The sequence below is a fragment of the Homo sapiens genome, chromosome 2, assembly GCF_000001405.40.
Source record: "Homo sapiens chromosome 2, GRCh38.p14 Primary Assembly".
Taxonomy (NCBI): Eukaryota; Metazoa; Chordata; class Mammalia; order Primates; family Hominidae; genus Homo; species Homo sapiens.
The window spans coordinates 219,326,015-219,343,010 of NC_000002.12; the positions used below are offsets into that span (position 1 = coordinate 219,326,015).

The window sequence follows — 16,996 nt, forward strand, 5'->3', positions numbered from 1 at the left end:
AGCTACGTTCTTGAACATAACAAGAAGGGAAAGGGCAACCACAGTAGCATGACTGAGAATCTGGATCATTAAGAACTAGTCGTGTAGTTTCTCTGGGTTGTTTAAATGGGGAAGATGTGGTGTGGCCAAGTTCCAATTCCTTAGAGAAACCCAGTTTGTTGTTGTTTTTGGTTTATTTTTTTGAGATGGAGTCTCACTGTTGACCAGGCTGCAGTGCAATAGTGTGATCTTGGCTCACTGCAACTCTGCCTCCCAGGTTCAAGCGATTCTCCTACCTCAGCCTCCTGAGTAGCGCGCCACCATGCCCGGCTAATTTTTGTTTGTTTGTTTGTTTATGATGGAATCTTGCTCTGTTGCCCAGGCTGGAGTGCAAGGGCGTGATCTCAGCTCACTGCAACCTCCACCTCCTGGGTGCAAGTGATTCTCCTGCCTCAGCCTCCTGAGTAGCTGGGATAGCAGGTGTGCACCACTACGCCCAGCTAATTTTTGTATTTTTAGTAGAGATGGGATTTCACCATGTTGGCCAGGCTGGTCTCGAACTCCTGAACTCAGGTGATCCCCTTGCCCTGCCTCCCAAAGTGTGGGATTATAGGCATGAGCCACCGTGCCCAGCCTAATTTTTGTATTTTTAGTAGAGATAGGGTCTTACCATGTTGGCCAGGCTGGTCTTGAACTCCTGATCTCAAATGATCCACCCGCCTTGGCCTCCCAAAGTGCTGGGATTACAGGTGTAAGCCACTGTGCACAGCCAAGAAACCCAGTCTTGATACCTGCCCATTTGCTTACACCTGTGAGCCTCCAACGTGTGTGAAAGTGCTTCAAAATGTATAAAGCTCTGCAAATAGGACATTCTAGTGTTTGGTTGTTGGCTGAACATAGGTGGTGAGATTACCAACTCCCTTTTAAGATTTTAAGCTACCAGGAGCAAACTAGCAAGAATGATCAGAATGTCCAGTGTGCGTACACTCTGACCTCAGCACTGATCTGTTGGTCCTTGTAGACAGGATGGGTGGGAAAGCCTGGTAGGGGCTATAATGCTGGAGGTGGGGACCCTCAAAAAACAGCAGGGTCCAGGCCTGTCTGGCATGAGGGGTAAAAGAAATGAATATGGAGTCCACCTCCCCGTAACGTGAAAGGATGGGCAACTAGACCACACAGTGTGGCTGGGATGTGGCTGGGTTAGGGGGGCTGCCATTCCAGCTGTGGTCTCACTCTCACTTTCCCCACTCCGGGAATTATCAGTGGAAGGAAAACAAGACAGAAGCCAGTCTTCCATCAGCCAAGAGTTGTGCTCCCCTCATCCCCACCCCATGTTTTGGTCCCACCTCCCTCTGTTTGGAGGCTCTGGCCAAGTTCAACCCCCACCCATCTTGCCTCAAGACAAACTCAGTGTTTGCATGAGAGTCTACTTTAATGATTCAAATCTGGGTCATCCAAGAACTGCTCCTCTGAAGGGCAATGGGAAGGGTGCTGGGGCAGGGAGGCTTCACATGAGGTCTCAATCAGCCACAGGGTTGCGGCCCACAGTAGGAAGTGGCCCAGAGAAGCCCTAAAACAAGAAGAAACAAGGGAGCTAGAGTCAGGATGTGAGACAGTGGCTCCTCCCTCATCTGCCCTCCTTCCACAAATACTGTAGTAACAGCCTGATTTGAGTAACCCTTCAGCATGGTGACAGCTCACCAACTGAGAGCCTGTCCCCTTGGGTCTCACATGTAGCCCTGTCTCTCCATGGTTTGCCCTTAAGCTTAGGTCTGGAGAAGAATGGCAGCTTCTTGTTTGCATTATTCCTGGGAGCACCAGGGCAACCAGTCCCCCACAGGTAGGTCTCTGTCACTTCTGTCACTGAGCTCTGATTATGTTGCCCCAGCAACCAATCCAGGCTTAGGAAGCCCAGCTGCCACATTATGGAAGTAGGAATCTGTTTCCTTGGAGAGCATGAGGAGCTGGAACCCCCTGTGGTGCAGGTTGCCTTTAGATGGAGGGTGCAGCCAGCCGGGGGTGCCCTGCTTCACTGCCACCACCCAAATTCAAGCCACCTCGGTCTCCCTGGACCAGGATGAGCCCCTCCTTACAGACCTCTCAGTTTTCACTTTTGCTCTCCTTACAGTTCATTCCCCAACATCACCAGGGTGGCCTTTTAAAATCATATCACGTTGTGACATTCCTTTCCTTAAAATTTCCCAGTTAAATTCCCACTGCACTTAGAATGAAATTCAAACCTTTTGCTATGATCTGTGAGCCCCTGTGTGGTCAGTCCTGGGCCTAATTCTCCACCCTCATCTTTGACCACTGACTTTTCTGTCTGTTCCTTAACATGACATGGTATGGGTGTCTCAGGACATTCGTAGTGGCAATGCTGTCTGCCTCAGATGCCCTTCCTTTACATCTTCCTCTGGTTGCCACCTTATAATTTAGGTCTTAGTCCAAAAAAAAAAAAACCTCTTTTTTCAGTGTGGAGGAGTCTGATGTTTGGAATGGCCAAATCCCACTGCAGTTCTTGAGTGGAAGGGCAGGGACTATGCAGGGGGAAAGAGCTGGAAATCAGGAGACCTGGGTCCAGTCTTGGCTCTGCCACAAACCCATGGTGTTGCCTTGAGTATGTCCCATGGCCTGGGCCCCAATTTCTCATCTATAAAGATGGATGGGAGTACTAGATGGGCGGTTTCCATTCTGGATTCTGAAGAGTTCAAAGATCCCAAGGAGATGTCTCAGAGCCTTGCCTGGGTGACTTGCCCAGGCCATAGAGTAGAGCAAGGGGGAGGCTGAATGTGAGGGTCTCTGAGCTGCACCTCCCATTCATCAAGGGAGTGTTGCTATCATGTGCTATATACAAGGGCATATATGGCAAAAAGGACGTTTAATTTTGAAAACTCTGCTGTTTCAATGCCTATTTTAAACTCAATACTTACGCATGATCTTATAGATAATTTCTTCCTTAGAGGGTCCCGGCGCCTGCATCATGTCCAGCCCCCCATATGAACACCTATAGGTAATCTGAGAGATACAGGAAATTAGAAGTACCTTTGATTAGGAATGGAAAAATCTTTTCTGCAGCGATCTGCCCTCACCTCAATGCCCATTCCCTTCTTCCTATCTGCCTCCCTCATTTAAACAGGTCCAACCTCCCTAGAAAAAGTGAGCCCCTCACCTTGACAGGGTTGGCCACCTCTTGTTTCAGGGCCTTAGAAACCACTTCGGAGGTAAAGCACTGATCCCTGTTCACCTTGGCCAGGGGGCTCTGTGAGGAGGGAAACCAGGAGTCAAGGAGGAGGCAGAAAAGGGTGAGAGGGCCCCACAGGAAAAGCAATTGGATACAAAGTCAGGGATTCACAATTCTTGAGAAGATACGTGAGTCTCACTGGGGAATAGGAGTTGAAGTTTCTCCTCTTGCTAGAAGAGACAGGGAATGACAAATTGGACCTAGGCTTGCCACACCCACCTCCCCTCCCTTTGCAGATATCACTAATGGATCATGAAATTCTTCTCTGCTGATTCCAAACAGGACCTCTGAATTCTCACAGTGCTCCTGGCAACTTCTACCTGCAGTTTTAGCACACATTCCTTCCCTGTTCCGTCTGTCTGCCAGAATGCTTGGAATGACCACAGGCCTCATGCACCTCACCTCAGTGGTTTTAGTGGGGAAAAGTGCCTTCCCATCCTTCAGGCATGGTTCTTGGGGATGCAGTCTGCTGGCATGCTCCATCTTTTGGATCATTGCATCCTGGGTGATGTCATCCTTCCAGAACAGACCTGCAGGATGAAAGGATGGGGGGTGAGTTGACACCTGAGACACTCGGATCCACTCCAGGGATCAGAGTAACCTTTCTCTCAAGTATATATTAGATTACATTTTACAGAGAATTAAACAAGATGATGTATTAAAGTTGCTTAGCATAGTGCCTAGCATATAATATTCAAATTAGGATTATGATTACAGTCTCTTTGCTGGTTCATTTGATGCTATTGTGAGGATTAAATGAGGTTAGGAATATAAAGAGTGCTTAGAAAATGCTAAGGCAGTGATTATCAAACTTTAGCATGTGCATCAGAATCTCCTGCAAGGTCTGTTAAAATACAGACTGCTGTTTCCCACCCCTAGGGCTTCTGATGCAGTAGGTCTGTGGTGAAGTTCAAAAATTCCCATTTCTAACAAGTTCCCTGGCGAGGTTGATGCTGCCAGTCCAGGGGTGCACTTTGAGAACTACTGCTCTAAGGCACTATGCACATATTAGTGTTAGCAGCAGTAATATGAACTCAAGGAAGATTTCCTAGCTGACTGTCTCCTCCCCAACATTCATGAAACTCTGCTGTGAGACAGGGTCAGCCACATGTTGCCAATGGACTCTCCACTCCCTTTCATTCCTCCCATCTGTTTGTCATACAATTTCCTACTCAGAGGCTGAAGTGTGTGTTTTCCTGTCTGAGAACTTGAAGAGTCCTGGCTTTGGAAAAGCTCATATAGTGCTGGGGTTGGGGGGAGACTAGTCTCAAGGAGTTGGATGCTGGCCGTTTTCAGTTTTGTTTTTTTTTTTCCCTAGAAGCCTTTACTGGGCTCTTCCAAGGTGTTCTAGTGCAAATAGTCCACCCATCCAGATCCCACTCCTACTCCTGTCTCATCCCCATGGGGGTAAATGTGACAAAGTTTTAAGTAGAGACATTTGGGGAACAGAAAGCCTACCCTCAGGTCGGATAGCCCCTCTTCCCCCCTCCCCATCTCTAACCAGGCCCCAACCTCTGTTCTCCAGCTTTTACTTACCTTGGGGTATAATCTGCTGGAGCACAACCTGTAAATGCTGGAAGACTGGGGTGGCAAATCCTTGGAGGGGCCAAAGCTGCCCCACTCCTACTTGGTCCTGACCATCTAAGGGCAAAATAGTGGTGTCAGCAAGGAACCTGGCCAGAGCCTTCCACATCCCAGTTGAAGAGAAGCAGCTTCCTTGTACTGTCACTCCTGGACCCCTGACCTCTGTTCCCACTACCAGGCCGCTTTGTCCACTTCAAGTCTTCTTTAATTTTTCCCTTCCTCCATCACCACTTGCCATATTCTTCAACCCCTGGGCCTCATTCACTCTTGGTACCAACTTACAGATAACCAGATTTACAAAGAGCAGCCTGTAGAAGTTCAGATGCGCAGAGGCTCAGAAAGCTGAGCACATGGGAATAGTAATCAGGTGGGTAGGTGGGGCATGGGGAAACAGGTGAGCTTCATCTTAGGGAAGTCATTGAAGCCTGGAAGTGTTAGGGAGGAGGCCTGGAATCATTAGAAAAGGTATTGGTTTGTTTAGGGTTTGAGGCTCTGGATCCTTTTCCTGAAGCCCACAGTTTGCCCAACTGTGCATGAGAGGAAGGACAGGGGTTGGGGAAGAGAACCCCTAATGCTATGCACACCTTCCTTCTTCCAGATCAGTGAGATAGGGCTGGAGGACAGTCTGTTTTTTGCTATAGTGTAGTTACCATGAGCCATTCTGGACAGGTCTTTAGAAAAGGGAATTCTCCTACCCAGTCAAATGGATGTCTAATAATTTCCTGGGGGTAAGCGTGACAAAGTTTTAAGTAGAGACATTTGGGGATGAGAAAGCCTCCTTAAGGAAGTAGTGGAACCTCCAACACCCTGAGGAGAAGGGAAAGAGCTTCGGGAAGGGGAGCTGATTCTCTGAGGCAGCGTTCCCAGGACTGGTGGGAAGGAGTGGTGACCCGCTCGGGCTCGGCGTGGACCCGGAGCGCGCCTGGCGCTGTCCGTGGTGCTGAGAGGTGGGGAGGCCAGCGTGGCGGCGGCGCTGGGCGGAATGTGGGCGAGACATCTCCGCAAGGCTTGGCGGTCCTTCCCCACGGCCCTCATCCTCTCATTGCCACCAGGCCTCCTCCCACAGCTGTTCCTGAATCCGCTGCATTGGCCTCTAAAACCAAAAATCAGGGAGAGGGGGCGACAGACTAGGAGTTTGCGCTCTCTTCCCCATGCGCTCTGCGCAGGAGTTCTCGAGTGTGCGCAGTCTGGCACGTGAGTCAGCGCGGGGTCTACGCGGATTGGTGCGGGGGAAGGGGAGAAGGATGGTCCCATTCCCCCTCCATCCTGCTTTCCCTCAGCGGTCCCCTTATTGGAAACCGGATCACAGCACGAGGAAGCCCTGGCTCGTCTCCTGGCCCAGCCTTCTCCCTGGAGCCAAGACCCCGATACCCGCAGCCCTGGTCAACTCTTTTTCTGGCCTTTCTTGCTTCTCCTGTGGCCACATAGGCCAGTTTTACCTCTCTCTGTTCATTTGTCTTTCTGACCTCTTCCCAAATCCCCAATTTTCACCTGAACCCACTTCTCGTGAGTCCAGACCCCATATGCCCAGCCTATCTGAAGCCTATGCCTCTTTCCGCTAGACGCTGTCTACCTTTTTCTCTTCTCACGTCCTTAAGCACATTCTTTTACTTCCAAGTTTCCTAGCCTTGAGGCCCCCTGCAGACCCCCACTTCTCAGGATCGCTTTCTTGGCCCTGCCCGCACCCCCCAGGGTTCCTCCTGACCGTGGGCACTAGTGTCGCTGCAGCCCCCCGGGCAGCTGTTCAGCAGCAGGAAGCAGACAAGCAGCTGGAGCCCCTCGGAGCTCCCAGGCCACAGTGGGTGCTGTATCCTCCCAGGCTCGGCGCGCTCACTCCCCGGCCAAGTCTCAGTGAAGGTAGCGGCCACGGCCGAGGGGCTGAGCGGGGCTGCAGCTTCCCACCAGCCCGCGACTCCGAATCTGTTTAACCCTCCTCGGCAGTTCAGCCAATCGTGAGCGGGCCCTGCCCCTGCGGTCGCCTCCCCAGCTCCTTCCCCTACCGCCTCCCCACCCTCATCTCTTGGAATTCCTGACCCGGCTCCTTTCGGGCATTAGCTGGGTCCCAAGAACCACCGCCTGTACTCCCAGTCCTAAGGCTGCAGAAACGGATGGCACGTAAGATACGGGTGCAAGTTGTACCTACTCAGGTTTGTTGTGAGAATCAAATATGAACAGCGATGAAACAGTAGGCACTCAAGGAATTTAGTTTATTTTATTATCCTTGACACTCTTTACTCTGGCCCACTTAAAACCCTTTAGAAATCATATAGGTTCGATCTGCTATATATATATATATAATATTATATATTATATATTATATATGGCACATCCATCCACTTTACTCCACATCCACTGCCATCGCCTTGGTCCAAACCACTGCACACTGTACTTTTTTTTTTTTTTTTTTTTGAGACAGTCTTGCAATTTCAGATCACCACAACCTCCGCTCGACCTCTACTCAACCTCAGGCTCCAGAGTAGCTGGGACTACAGGTGCACACTACCATGCCCAGCCAATTTTATTTATTTATTTATTTATTTTTGTAGAGACAGGGTTTTGCCATGTTTCCCAGGCTGATCTCAAACTCCTAGGCTCAAGCAATCCTCCCACCTTGGCCCCCCAAAGTGTTGGCATTACTGGCATGAGCCACCATGCCAGGCCTTGGACACTGTACTCTTTTAAATTGAGTTGTTGTAGTAACTAACTAGCTAACTGACCTCTTGCTTTCACTCTTGTGTACTTACAAGCTAGTTTGTGAGCTTTCTAACTCTTAGACTGGCATTTAAATTTTTTTTCATTAAGCTTAAAACATTTATTAAACTGGGCATGGTGGCTCATGCTTGTAATCTCAGCACTTTGGGAGGTCGAGATAGTGGATTACTTAAACCTAAGGGTTTGTATAGTGAACATTTGGGGTTGATACATTACAAAGGATCTGAATTATATTATTATCTTTAAAGGGTAATAGTTTGAGTTTGTTCTGGCAGGCAATTAAATTTTTGGTAAAAAGTCTTGATCCTGTGGCAGTCTGGTTAGGGAAGGAGTACTTCATCCTATTCTCAATTCTAGCCTGTATCTCTTAGTCCTGGGATATGGTGCTTATGGCTAAGGTGTGGTCCTTTTTGGATTTCAACATAACCCAAAGTCATTTACCAAAACTCTCTATTTTACGGGTCCTGAACTCCAAACTCAGTCACCCTAACACTGTGACAGCTGCCAAAATCTCTGTTCAGATATTTGACTTTTTCACTAGGTTCCTTGAAATCTCACCCTGCGCAAGTGCCATTTAGAAGATAGCTAAGAATTGGAGGGGAGTTAGGATGCAGATTTTGAGTTCCTCTCTCTGTAATTTATTCATTTTCTAAATTTCTTCCTCAATTTCCAGATGCTCTGGCATCTCTGTACTCCAAAAGCTGTTTCCTTAGTAAGACTGCCAGTTGCTGACAGAGCTGTTTCCCTGTGTACTGCAGTGAACTCTGAAGTATCTTCAGAGGAAAAGCCTATACATGTATAAGTCACTTGGTGGACTTCCTTTTTTTGAGGACTATACTCCCTGTAGGTTTCTAACTCTTGATCAGTCTCCATGCTTTCATACAGTTATTTTTATATTTTGCCTAGAGTATATACCCAATGTTAGGAGGATCCGACACAAGTTTCTGTCTTGTCACGCCAAAAACTAGAGGTTTATCTGGTTGTCACTGATTATGTACTGGACATGCTATTTTAAAATAAATTTATAGCAATAATTTGAGGCCTAAGAGCAAATGAACGTGAACCTGCTTTGTGAAGTATAATGCTCCTGGAAAAAGGGAAATATTGGTCTTTGGGTCGGCTGAACAAAGGTGAGTGTGCTCCTCTCTGTATTTTAAGATTTTAAACCACCAGGAGAATGGCTATCAAAATGATAAATGTACAGGAGCATTGATGCTGCTCTTCTTTTTACTGTTCATTGGAAGGGATTCTAATGCTAAGAGTAATACCCTCAGAAGACTTAGCAGGTTTTCAGGCCTATTGAACCAGGGGTTCGTAGGAAGGAACTTTCTTTCCCAAGAAGAAAGAAAGACTACCATAAAGTGTAGCTGGGGAGAGTGGGCGAAGGAAGATTGTAATTCAGCTGTGGTCCTACTCTGTCTTACATTCATGTTACAAATGATGTCCGGAAGGAGAAGGAGATCAGAAGCCTAGGCTCCATGTGTACCAAGGAGTTTTACTATTTCAATCCCCACCCCAAATGTCCTCTCTGTTCTGGCTTTACATATTTTAATTCAGAAGCTCTGGCTGAGGCCCACTGTCTTACTTGCAGACAAGCCTGCTTAAAGAATTTTCATGAAAACTCACTTTAAAAAATCCAGTAGCAAGTTGTCCTAAAACTGCCTCTCTGCAGGGTAATGGGGCTGGGAGAGGAGGAAGGCCTCAATCTGTGACAAAGTTTTGCTCAGAGAAGGAAACAGTTCAAAGAAGCTCTAAAATGGGAGGAAAATCGGATTTGGAATTTGTGTGTATATGTGCCAGGGGCTCCCCCTCCACAGTGTAAGCTCCCCTCACCCCACTATATAAGGGCCTCTAGTTGCAGTCTTGACTTGGGCAAGTCTTGAGGAATAGTGACTCAGCAACCACCTGACAGCTAGCCTCCCCTTGGCTCCGACGTCATGATCTTCTCTCTCTCCCTGATTTTCCCTTAGGTACAGAGCTAGTCAAGGACGCTGAGCCTGCAGAAGAAAGGCAGATTCTTGTTTGCATAATTGGTAGCACCATGACAACCAGTTCTTATTGTGAGGATCAGTCATTTAGTGCTGATGATGCCACTCCAGCGACCAATCCAGGTAGGAGAAGTGTAGCTGCCATGGTGACAGGAATCAAGAAGCAGTTTCCTTGGAAGCATAAGGATCTAGAGCCCCCTGAGGTTCAGGCTGCCTGTTGGGGCAGTGCAGGGCCAGATAGAGGTGCTAGGCTCCTGTGATTGCCTCGCCCAGGCCACCACAGTCTTTCTTGGACCAAGACAACACTTCCTAACTGATCTATTGATTCCACTCTTTCCCCTATCAATATATTCTCAAGTAGCCTTTTAAAATTATATATCACATAATTCTATTCCCTTCCTTAAAATCCCCAGTGATTTTTCCTCTGTACTTTGCATAAGATCTGGACGCTCTACTGTTGCCTACAGAGCTCTGTCTAGGCAATTTTGGACTTATTTCTCCAATCCCATCTCCTATCACTGGTTGTTCTGTTTGTTTTTCTAAAGTGCCATTTGAGAAATGAAAAAATATAATAACTAAAATAAAAACTCACTGGATGAGCTCCAAGCGGGATAGAAATGACAGAAGAGTCAGTCAACTTGAAGATGGGTCAACAGAAATAATCCAATCAGAACAAGAGAGAGAAAAAACATTGGGAAAAAAAAAGTTAACAGAACTTCAGGGACCTGTAGGGCAATATCAAAAGTCCAAAATTAATGTCATTGGAATTCCAGATTAAGAGGATAAAGTGCAGTACACACAAAAATTTTGAAGAAATAATTTCTGAAAAATTCCCAAATGTGTGAAAAGACATAAGCCTAAAGATTAAAGAAGCTTAAGGAATGCCAAATAGAATAAACTCAAAGAAGTCTATACTCTTGACACATTATAATCAAAAATTCTAAACACTGAAACAAAGAAAAAAATCTTAAACAACACACGACTAAAGAACAATGGGATTCAGAAAACTGAATTTTTCATTATAAACCATGTGGGCCAGAAGGAAGTGAAATAACATCTTTAAAGTTGTGAGAGAAATGAGCTGCCAACTGAGGATTCTATATCCAGCAAAAATATACTTTAAGAATGAAAGTGAAATAAGGATATTCTCAGATGAAGAAAAACTAAGATAATTAATTGCTAGTAGAAACATCAGGAATGAAGAAGAGGAACAGAAATGACAAGTGTCTGAATAAATATCATAGACTATTCTTCCCCTTGTGAGTTATGTAAAATATGTTTGGTTAAAAGCAAAAATTCCAGCCTGGGCAACATGGCAAAACCCTGTCTCTACCAAAAAAAACCCAAAAAACAAAAACACAAAAACAAAAAATTAGCCAGGCATGGTGTCACACACATGTAGTCCTACTTAGGAGGCTGAGGAAGGAGGATTATCTGAGCCCAGGGAGGTCAAGGCTGCAGTGAGCCATGATCGCACTACTGCATTCCAGCCTAGGCAACAGAGTGAGACCCTGTCTCAATAAATAAATAAATAAATAATAAGGTTGGGTACAGTGGCTCACACCTGTAATCCCAGTACTTTGAGAGGCTGAAGTAGGAGAATCACTTGAGCTCAGGAGTTGGAGACTAGCCTGGGAAACATAGCAAGACCTCGTCTCTACTAAAAATTAAAAAAATTCCAGCCTGGAAACATGGCGAAACCCTGTCTCTACAGAAAATACAAAAATTAGCTGGGTGTGGTGGTGTGTGCCTGTAGTCCCAGCTACTCAGGAGGCTGAGGCAGGAGGATTGCTTGAGCCTGGGAGGTGGAGGTTGCAGTGAGCTGAAATCATGCCATCGTACTCCAACGTGGGTCACAGTGTGAGACACTCCCCCCAAAAAAAAAAAAAAATTCACTGGGCTGGTTCTGATGGGACAGCATGCCTGTAGTCTTAGCTATTCAGAATGCTGAGGCAGGAAGATCACTTGAGCCCAGGAGATAGAGATTGCAGTGAGCTATGATCACACTACTGCACTCCAGCCTGGGCAACCTGTCAAAAAAAAAAAGCATAAATTATAACATTGATAGGATTTTCAATGTATGTAAATGTAATTGATTCTAATAGACAACTACAGCATAAATGGGGAAGGTAAAGAGATCTGTATGCTGGTAAGATTTCTATATTACATTTAAAACGGCAAAATAGTGATTAAAAGTAGACTTGGAAAAATTAAGTATGTACACTGTAATCCCTAGAGCATCCACTGAAAAAATTATACAAAGAAATATAGTAAAAAATTACAACAGATACATTAAAATAGAATATTTAAAAGTTTTCCAATAATCTAAAGAAGGAAAGGGGAGGAAAGGAACAACACAACAAAAAAAAGAGGAAACAAACAGAAAAGAAACAATAAAATGGTAGATGTAAATCCAAAGATACCAATAATTGTACATTGTCTAAACATATAGATTTAAAGACAAATGACCAGAATGGCTTTAAAAAATAACCCAACAACATGTTATCTACAAGAAATTCTCTTTAAATATAACTATGTATGTAGATAGGTTACAGGTAAACAAATGAGAAAAAGTATGATGTGTTAACATGAATCAAATAAAAACTGGAGTAGCTATATTAATGTTAGATTGACTTCAGCACAAAGAAAAATACCAGGGATAAAGAGGAACATTACATAATGATAAAAGGGTCAAGTCATCAAGAAGACATAGAACTCTTGATGTGTATGTACCTAACACCAGAGCCTCAAAATACATGATGCAAAAATGAACAATTATAAAAGGAGAAATAGACAAATCCATAATAATAATAATAATGATAATAATTATTATTTTGAGACAGAGTCTCGCTCTGTCACCCAAGCTGGAGTGCAGTGGCATGATCTCGGCTTACTGCAACCTCTGCCTCCCAGGTTCAAGCGATTTTCATGCCTCAGCCTCCTGAGTAGCTGGGATTACAGGTGACTGCCACCATGCCCAGCTAATTTTTGTATTTTTTAGTAGAGATGGGTTTTCGCCATGTTGGCCAGGCTGGTCTCAAACTCTTGACCTCAGGTGATCCACCTGCCTCGGCCTCCCAAAGTGCTGGGATTACAGGCATGAGCCACCTCACCTGTCCCAAATCCATAATTATATTTGGAGACTTCAACATTTCTCTCTCAGAAATCAAGAGAACTAGTAGACGTAAAAGCAGCAGGCTTACAAGAACTTAATCACACTACCAACTAGTAGATTCTAACATTTACAGAACACTCCACCCAACAACAGCAGAGTACACATTCTTTCCAAGTGCAGAATGGAATATACCCACATCCTGCATCATACCCTGGATCATAAAACAAACTTTACTAAATTTAAAATAATTGAAATTATACAGATTTGCCCTATGACCATAATGCAATTAAACTAAAAATAAATAACAAAAAATAACAGGTCTCCAAATACTTGAACATTAAAAACCACACTTCTAAGTAATACACAGGTCAAAAAGGAAGTCTTAAGGAAAATTAGAAAACATTTTGAACTGAACAAAAAGGAAAACATCAAATTTTGTGGGATGAAGCTAGAGGAATACTTAGAGCAAAGTTTATGGCATTATATGCTTGTATTGGGAAAGTCATCTAAAGGAAGAAACTAAAGATAAAAGCATAAACCAATAAAATTGAAAACAGAAAAAGAATCAACCAAACAGAAAGCTGCCTTATTGAACAGGTTGATAAAATATTTATCAGTAAGATAAACTTCTAGCAAGACTGACCAAAAAAAGACATAAATTACCATTATCAGGCATGAAAGATATCACAAATTGACCCCATAGACATTAAAAAGATAATAAAGGAATACTACAAACAACTCTTATGTACATATATTTCACAACTTAGTTGAAATGGACCAATTCCTTAAAAACCACAAACTACCAAAACTCATCCAAGATGAAACAGATAACTTAAATGATCTTACAACAAGAAATTGAATTCATGTTAAAACTTCCCCCCAAAGTAGTCTACAGACTAAGATGGTTTCTGCTATGGTTTGAATATATCCCCCAAATTACCATGTGTTGTAAACTCAATCCCCAAATTCATATGTTGATTGGAAGGGGGCCTTTGGGAGGTAATTAGGATTAGATATAGTCATCAGGGTAGGGCCCGCATGATGGGACTGGTGGCTTTATAAGAAGAAGAAGAAGAAGAAAGATCTGAGGGGACACAAACACTCTTGTCCTCTCATCATGTGATGCTGTCAGTCATGTTATGACACAGCATGAAGGCCCTCACCAGATGCCTGTCCCTCCATCATAGACTCCCCAGCTTCTAGAACCATATAAAATCAACTTCTTTATAAATTACCCAGTCTGTGGTATTCTGTTATAGAAATGTGAAATAGGGCTGGGCACGGTGGCTCAAGCCTGTAATCCCAACACTTTGGGAGGCCGAGGTGGGCAGATCACTTGAGGTCAGGAGTTCAAGACCAGCCTGGCCAACATGGTGAAACCCCATCTCTACTAAAAATACGAAAGTTAGCGGGGCTTGGTGGCACATGCTTGTAATCCCAGCTACTTGGGAGGCTGAGGCATGAGAATTGCTTGAACCTGGGAGGTGGAGGTTGCTTGCAGTGAGCCAAGATCATGCCACTGCACTCCAGCCTGGGTGACAGAGACTCCATCTCAAAAAAAAAAAATGCAAAACAGACACAGTTTCATTGGCAAATTCTACCCAATATTTCAAGAAGAAATAACACAATCTCTTCCAGAAATTCGGAAAGAATACTTCCCAATTCATTATATGTACTTACTATTGCCTTGATACCAAAATCAGAAAAAGACAATACAAGAATAGAAAATTGTAGGCTGACATCTTTTATGAACACGGGCACAAAACCACTCAAAAAATTAGCAAATTGAACCCAGCAATATATAAAAGGAATCCTGGGAGCATAAGGCGGGTTCAATATTTCAAAATCAATGTAGTCCACTATTTTCAACAGTTTAAGATGAAAAGCCACATGATCACATCAACGAATGCAAAAAAAGTATTTGATAAAATTCAACATTCATATTTAAAAACAAACAAATAGGCCAGGTGCAGTGGCACATGCCTATAATCCCAGCAGTTTGGGAGGCTGAGGCAGGTGGATCACCTGAGGTCAGGAGTTCAAGACCAGCCTGGCCAACATGATGAAACCCCATCTCTACTAAAAATACAAAAATTAACTGGGCATGGTGGTGGGTTCTTGTAATTCCAGCTACTCGGGAGGTTGAGGCAGAAGAATTGCTTGAACCCAGGAGGCGGAGGTTGCAGTGAGCCAAGATTGCGCCATTGCACTTCAGCCTGGGCGACAAGAATGAAACTCCGTCTCAAAAAAACAAAAACAAAACAAGCAAGCAAATAACAATAAATAAAACAAGCCTCTCAGCAAGGCTGAAATAGAAGGGAACTTCAATCTGATAAAAGGGCATCTACAAAAAAGCTACAGCTAATGTCATAGTTAATGATCAAAATACTTCCCCTGGCTGGTCATGGTGGTTCCTGCCTGTAATCCCAGCACTTTGGGAGTCCGAGGTGGGAAGATCACCTGAGGTCAGGAGTTTGAGACCAGCCTGACCAACATGGTGAAACTCTGTCTCTACTAAAAATACAAAAATTAGCTGGGCGTGGTGGTGGGCGACTTGTAATCCCAGCTACATGACAGGTTAGGGCATGAGAATCACTTAAACCCGGGAGGCAGAGGTTGCAGTGAGCTGAGATCGTGCCACTGCATGCCAGCCTGGACGACAGAGCAAGACTCTGTCTCAAAAAAAAAAACAAAAAAACTCCTTCCCCTAAGAGCAGAAAACAAAGGAAGTACAGTTTTCCCTCAGTATCTATAGGAGATTGGTTCCAGGACCTCCCGTCAAGGTCAAAATCCTCAGATGCTGAAGTCCCTGGTATAAAACGGTGTAGTATTTAACATATAACTTATGCACATCTTTCTGTATACTTTAAATCATCTCTAGATTGCTTATAATACTAATACAATATATGTGGTATGTAAATCATTGCTATATTGTATTGTGTAAGTAATAATGACAAGAAAAAGGATCTGTACATGTTCAGCACAGATGCAGTTTTTTTTTTTTCAAATATTTTTGATCCATGGTTGGTTGAATCCAAGGATGTGGAACCAGAGAGTGCAGAGGGCTGCATGACCCTCTTGCCACTCCAGTTCATCATAGCACTGGGAAATGATTCCATTCAGGATCCTCTTTTTCTGGTAAAAGAACACCCTATGGAATTTCTTCTAGTGAAAGTGTGTTGGCTGCAAGCTCTCACATGAAGATTTTCTGAAAATGTCGTTATTTCACTTTCATTTTTGGAAGATATGCCAGGTATAGAATTCTAGGTTGGGCCAGGCATGGTGGCTCATGCCTGTAATCCCAGCACTTTGGGATGCTGAGGCGGGCAGACCTGAGGTCAGGAGTTCAAGACCAGCCTGGCCAAATTGGCGAAAGCTGTCTCTACTAAAAATGCAAAAAAATTAGCCGGGATTAGTGGCAGACGCCTGTAATCCCAGCTACTTGGGAGGCTGAGGCAGGAGAATGGTTTGAACCCAAGAGGTGAAGGGTGGTGAGCCGAGAACGCCTTGCACTCCAGCCTGGGTGACAAGAGTGAAACTCTGATTCAAAAAAAAAAAAAAAAGAATTCTAGGTTGGTCATTGTCTCTTTTGGCACATTGAGGACATCAGTTTAGTATCTTTTGGGTGCCATTATTGCTATCGGCATAACTGTAACTTGTGTCTTAAAAGTAATCTTCTGGCCGGGTGCGGTGGCTCATGCCTGTAATCCCAGCACTTTGGGAGGCCGAGGTGGGCGGATCACAAGGTCAGGAGATCGAGACCATCCTGGCTAATATGGTAAAACCCTGTCGCTACTAAAAATATAAAAAATCAGCCAGGCGTGGTGGTGGGCACCTGTAGTCCCAGGTACTCCAGAGGCTGAGGCAGGAGAATGGTGTGAGCCCAGGAGGCAAAGCTTGCAGTGAGCCGAGGTTGCGCCACTGCACTCCAGCCTGGGCAGCAGAGCGAGACTCCATCTCAAAAAAAAAAAAAAAAATTAATCTCCCTCTGATCTATACCACAGCTGTTGTATTAGTCCATTTTCTGTTGCTTATAACGGAATAATTGAAAGTGGGTAATTTATAAAGAAAACGCATTTATTTCTTAAAATTTTCACAATTATTGAGACTGAGAAGTCCAGGGTTAAGGGGCTGCATCTGGTAATAGCTTTCTTATTGGTAAGGATGCTTTACAGAGTCTCGAGGTGCCACAAGACATTATATGGCAAGGGGGCTGAGCATGCTAGCTCAGCTCTGTCTTCTTCCTATAAAGTCACAGTCCCACTCCTGTGATAACACATTAATCCATAACCTATTAATTCAGAAATGGATTAATCCATTTATGAGGGCAGAGCCCTCATGACCCGATTATCTCTTAAAGACCCCCTCTCGATACTG

The 16,996-nt window shown here is 44.5% G+C and overlaps 1 protein-coding gene across 2 annotated transcripts, besides 1 other annotated feature; it reads right to left on the reverse strand.

The window, feature by feature from the left end:
- Positions 1-1,392: 1,392 nt before the first annotated feature.
- On the reverse strand, positions 1,393-7,163 carry RESP18 (regulated endocrine specific protein 18). Of its 2 annotated transcripts, NM_001007089.4 has the most exons (7): positions 7,147-7,163; positions 6,510-6,724; positions 4,757-4,861; positions 3,623-3,750; positions 3,149-3,238; positions 2,910-2,994; positions 1,393-1,549 (listed from the first exon to the last, which is right to left on the reverse strand). In NM_001007089.4, exons 1-7 carry the CDS (start codon positions 7,161-7,163, stop codon positions 1,503-1,505), a joined length of 687 nt encoding a protein of 228 aa, NP_001007090.3. In that variant the 3' UTR covers positions 1,393-1,502. The 2 variants fall into 2 exon arrangements, with proteins under 2 accessions (NP_001007090.3, NP_001428628.1); NM_001441699.1 differs by lacking the exon at positions 7,147-7,163 and having other exon boundaries at positions 6,510-6,730.
- Positions 8,709-9,908: an enhancer, noted in NCBI's record as "CDK7 strongly-dependent group 2 enhancer chr2:220199445-220200644 (GRCh37/hg19 assembly coordinates)". NCBI's record gives its function as "activates an origin of replication core promoter dependent on BRD2, BRD4, P300/CBP, MED14 and CDK7 cofactors, with strong dependence on CDK7, by STARR-seq in HCT116 cells {active_cell/tissue: HCT116}" and the evidence as "EXISTENCE:reporter gene assay evidence [ECO:0000049][PMID:35650434]".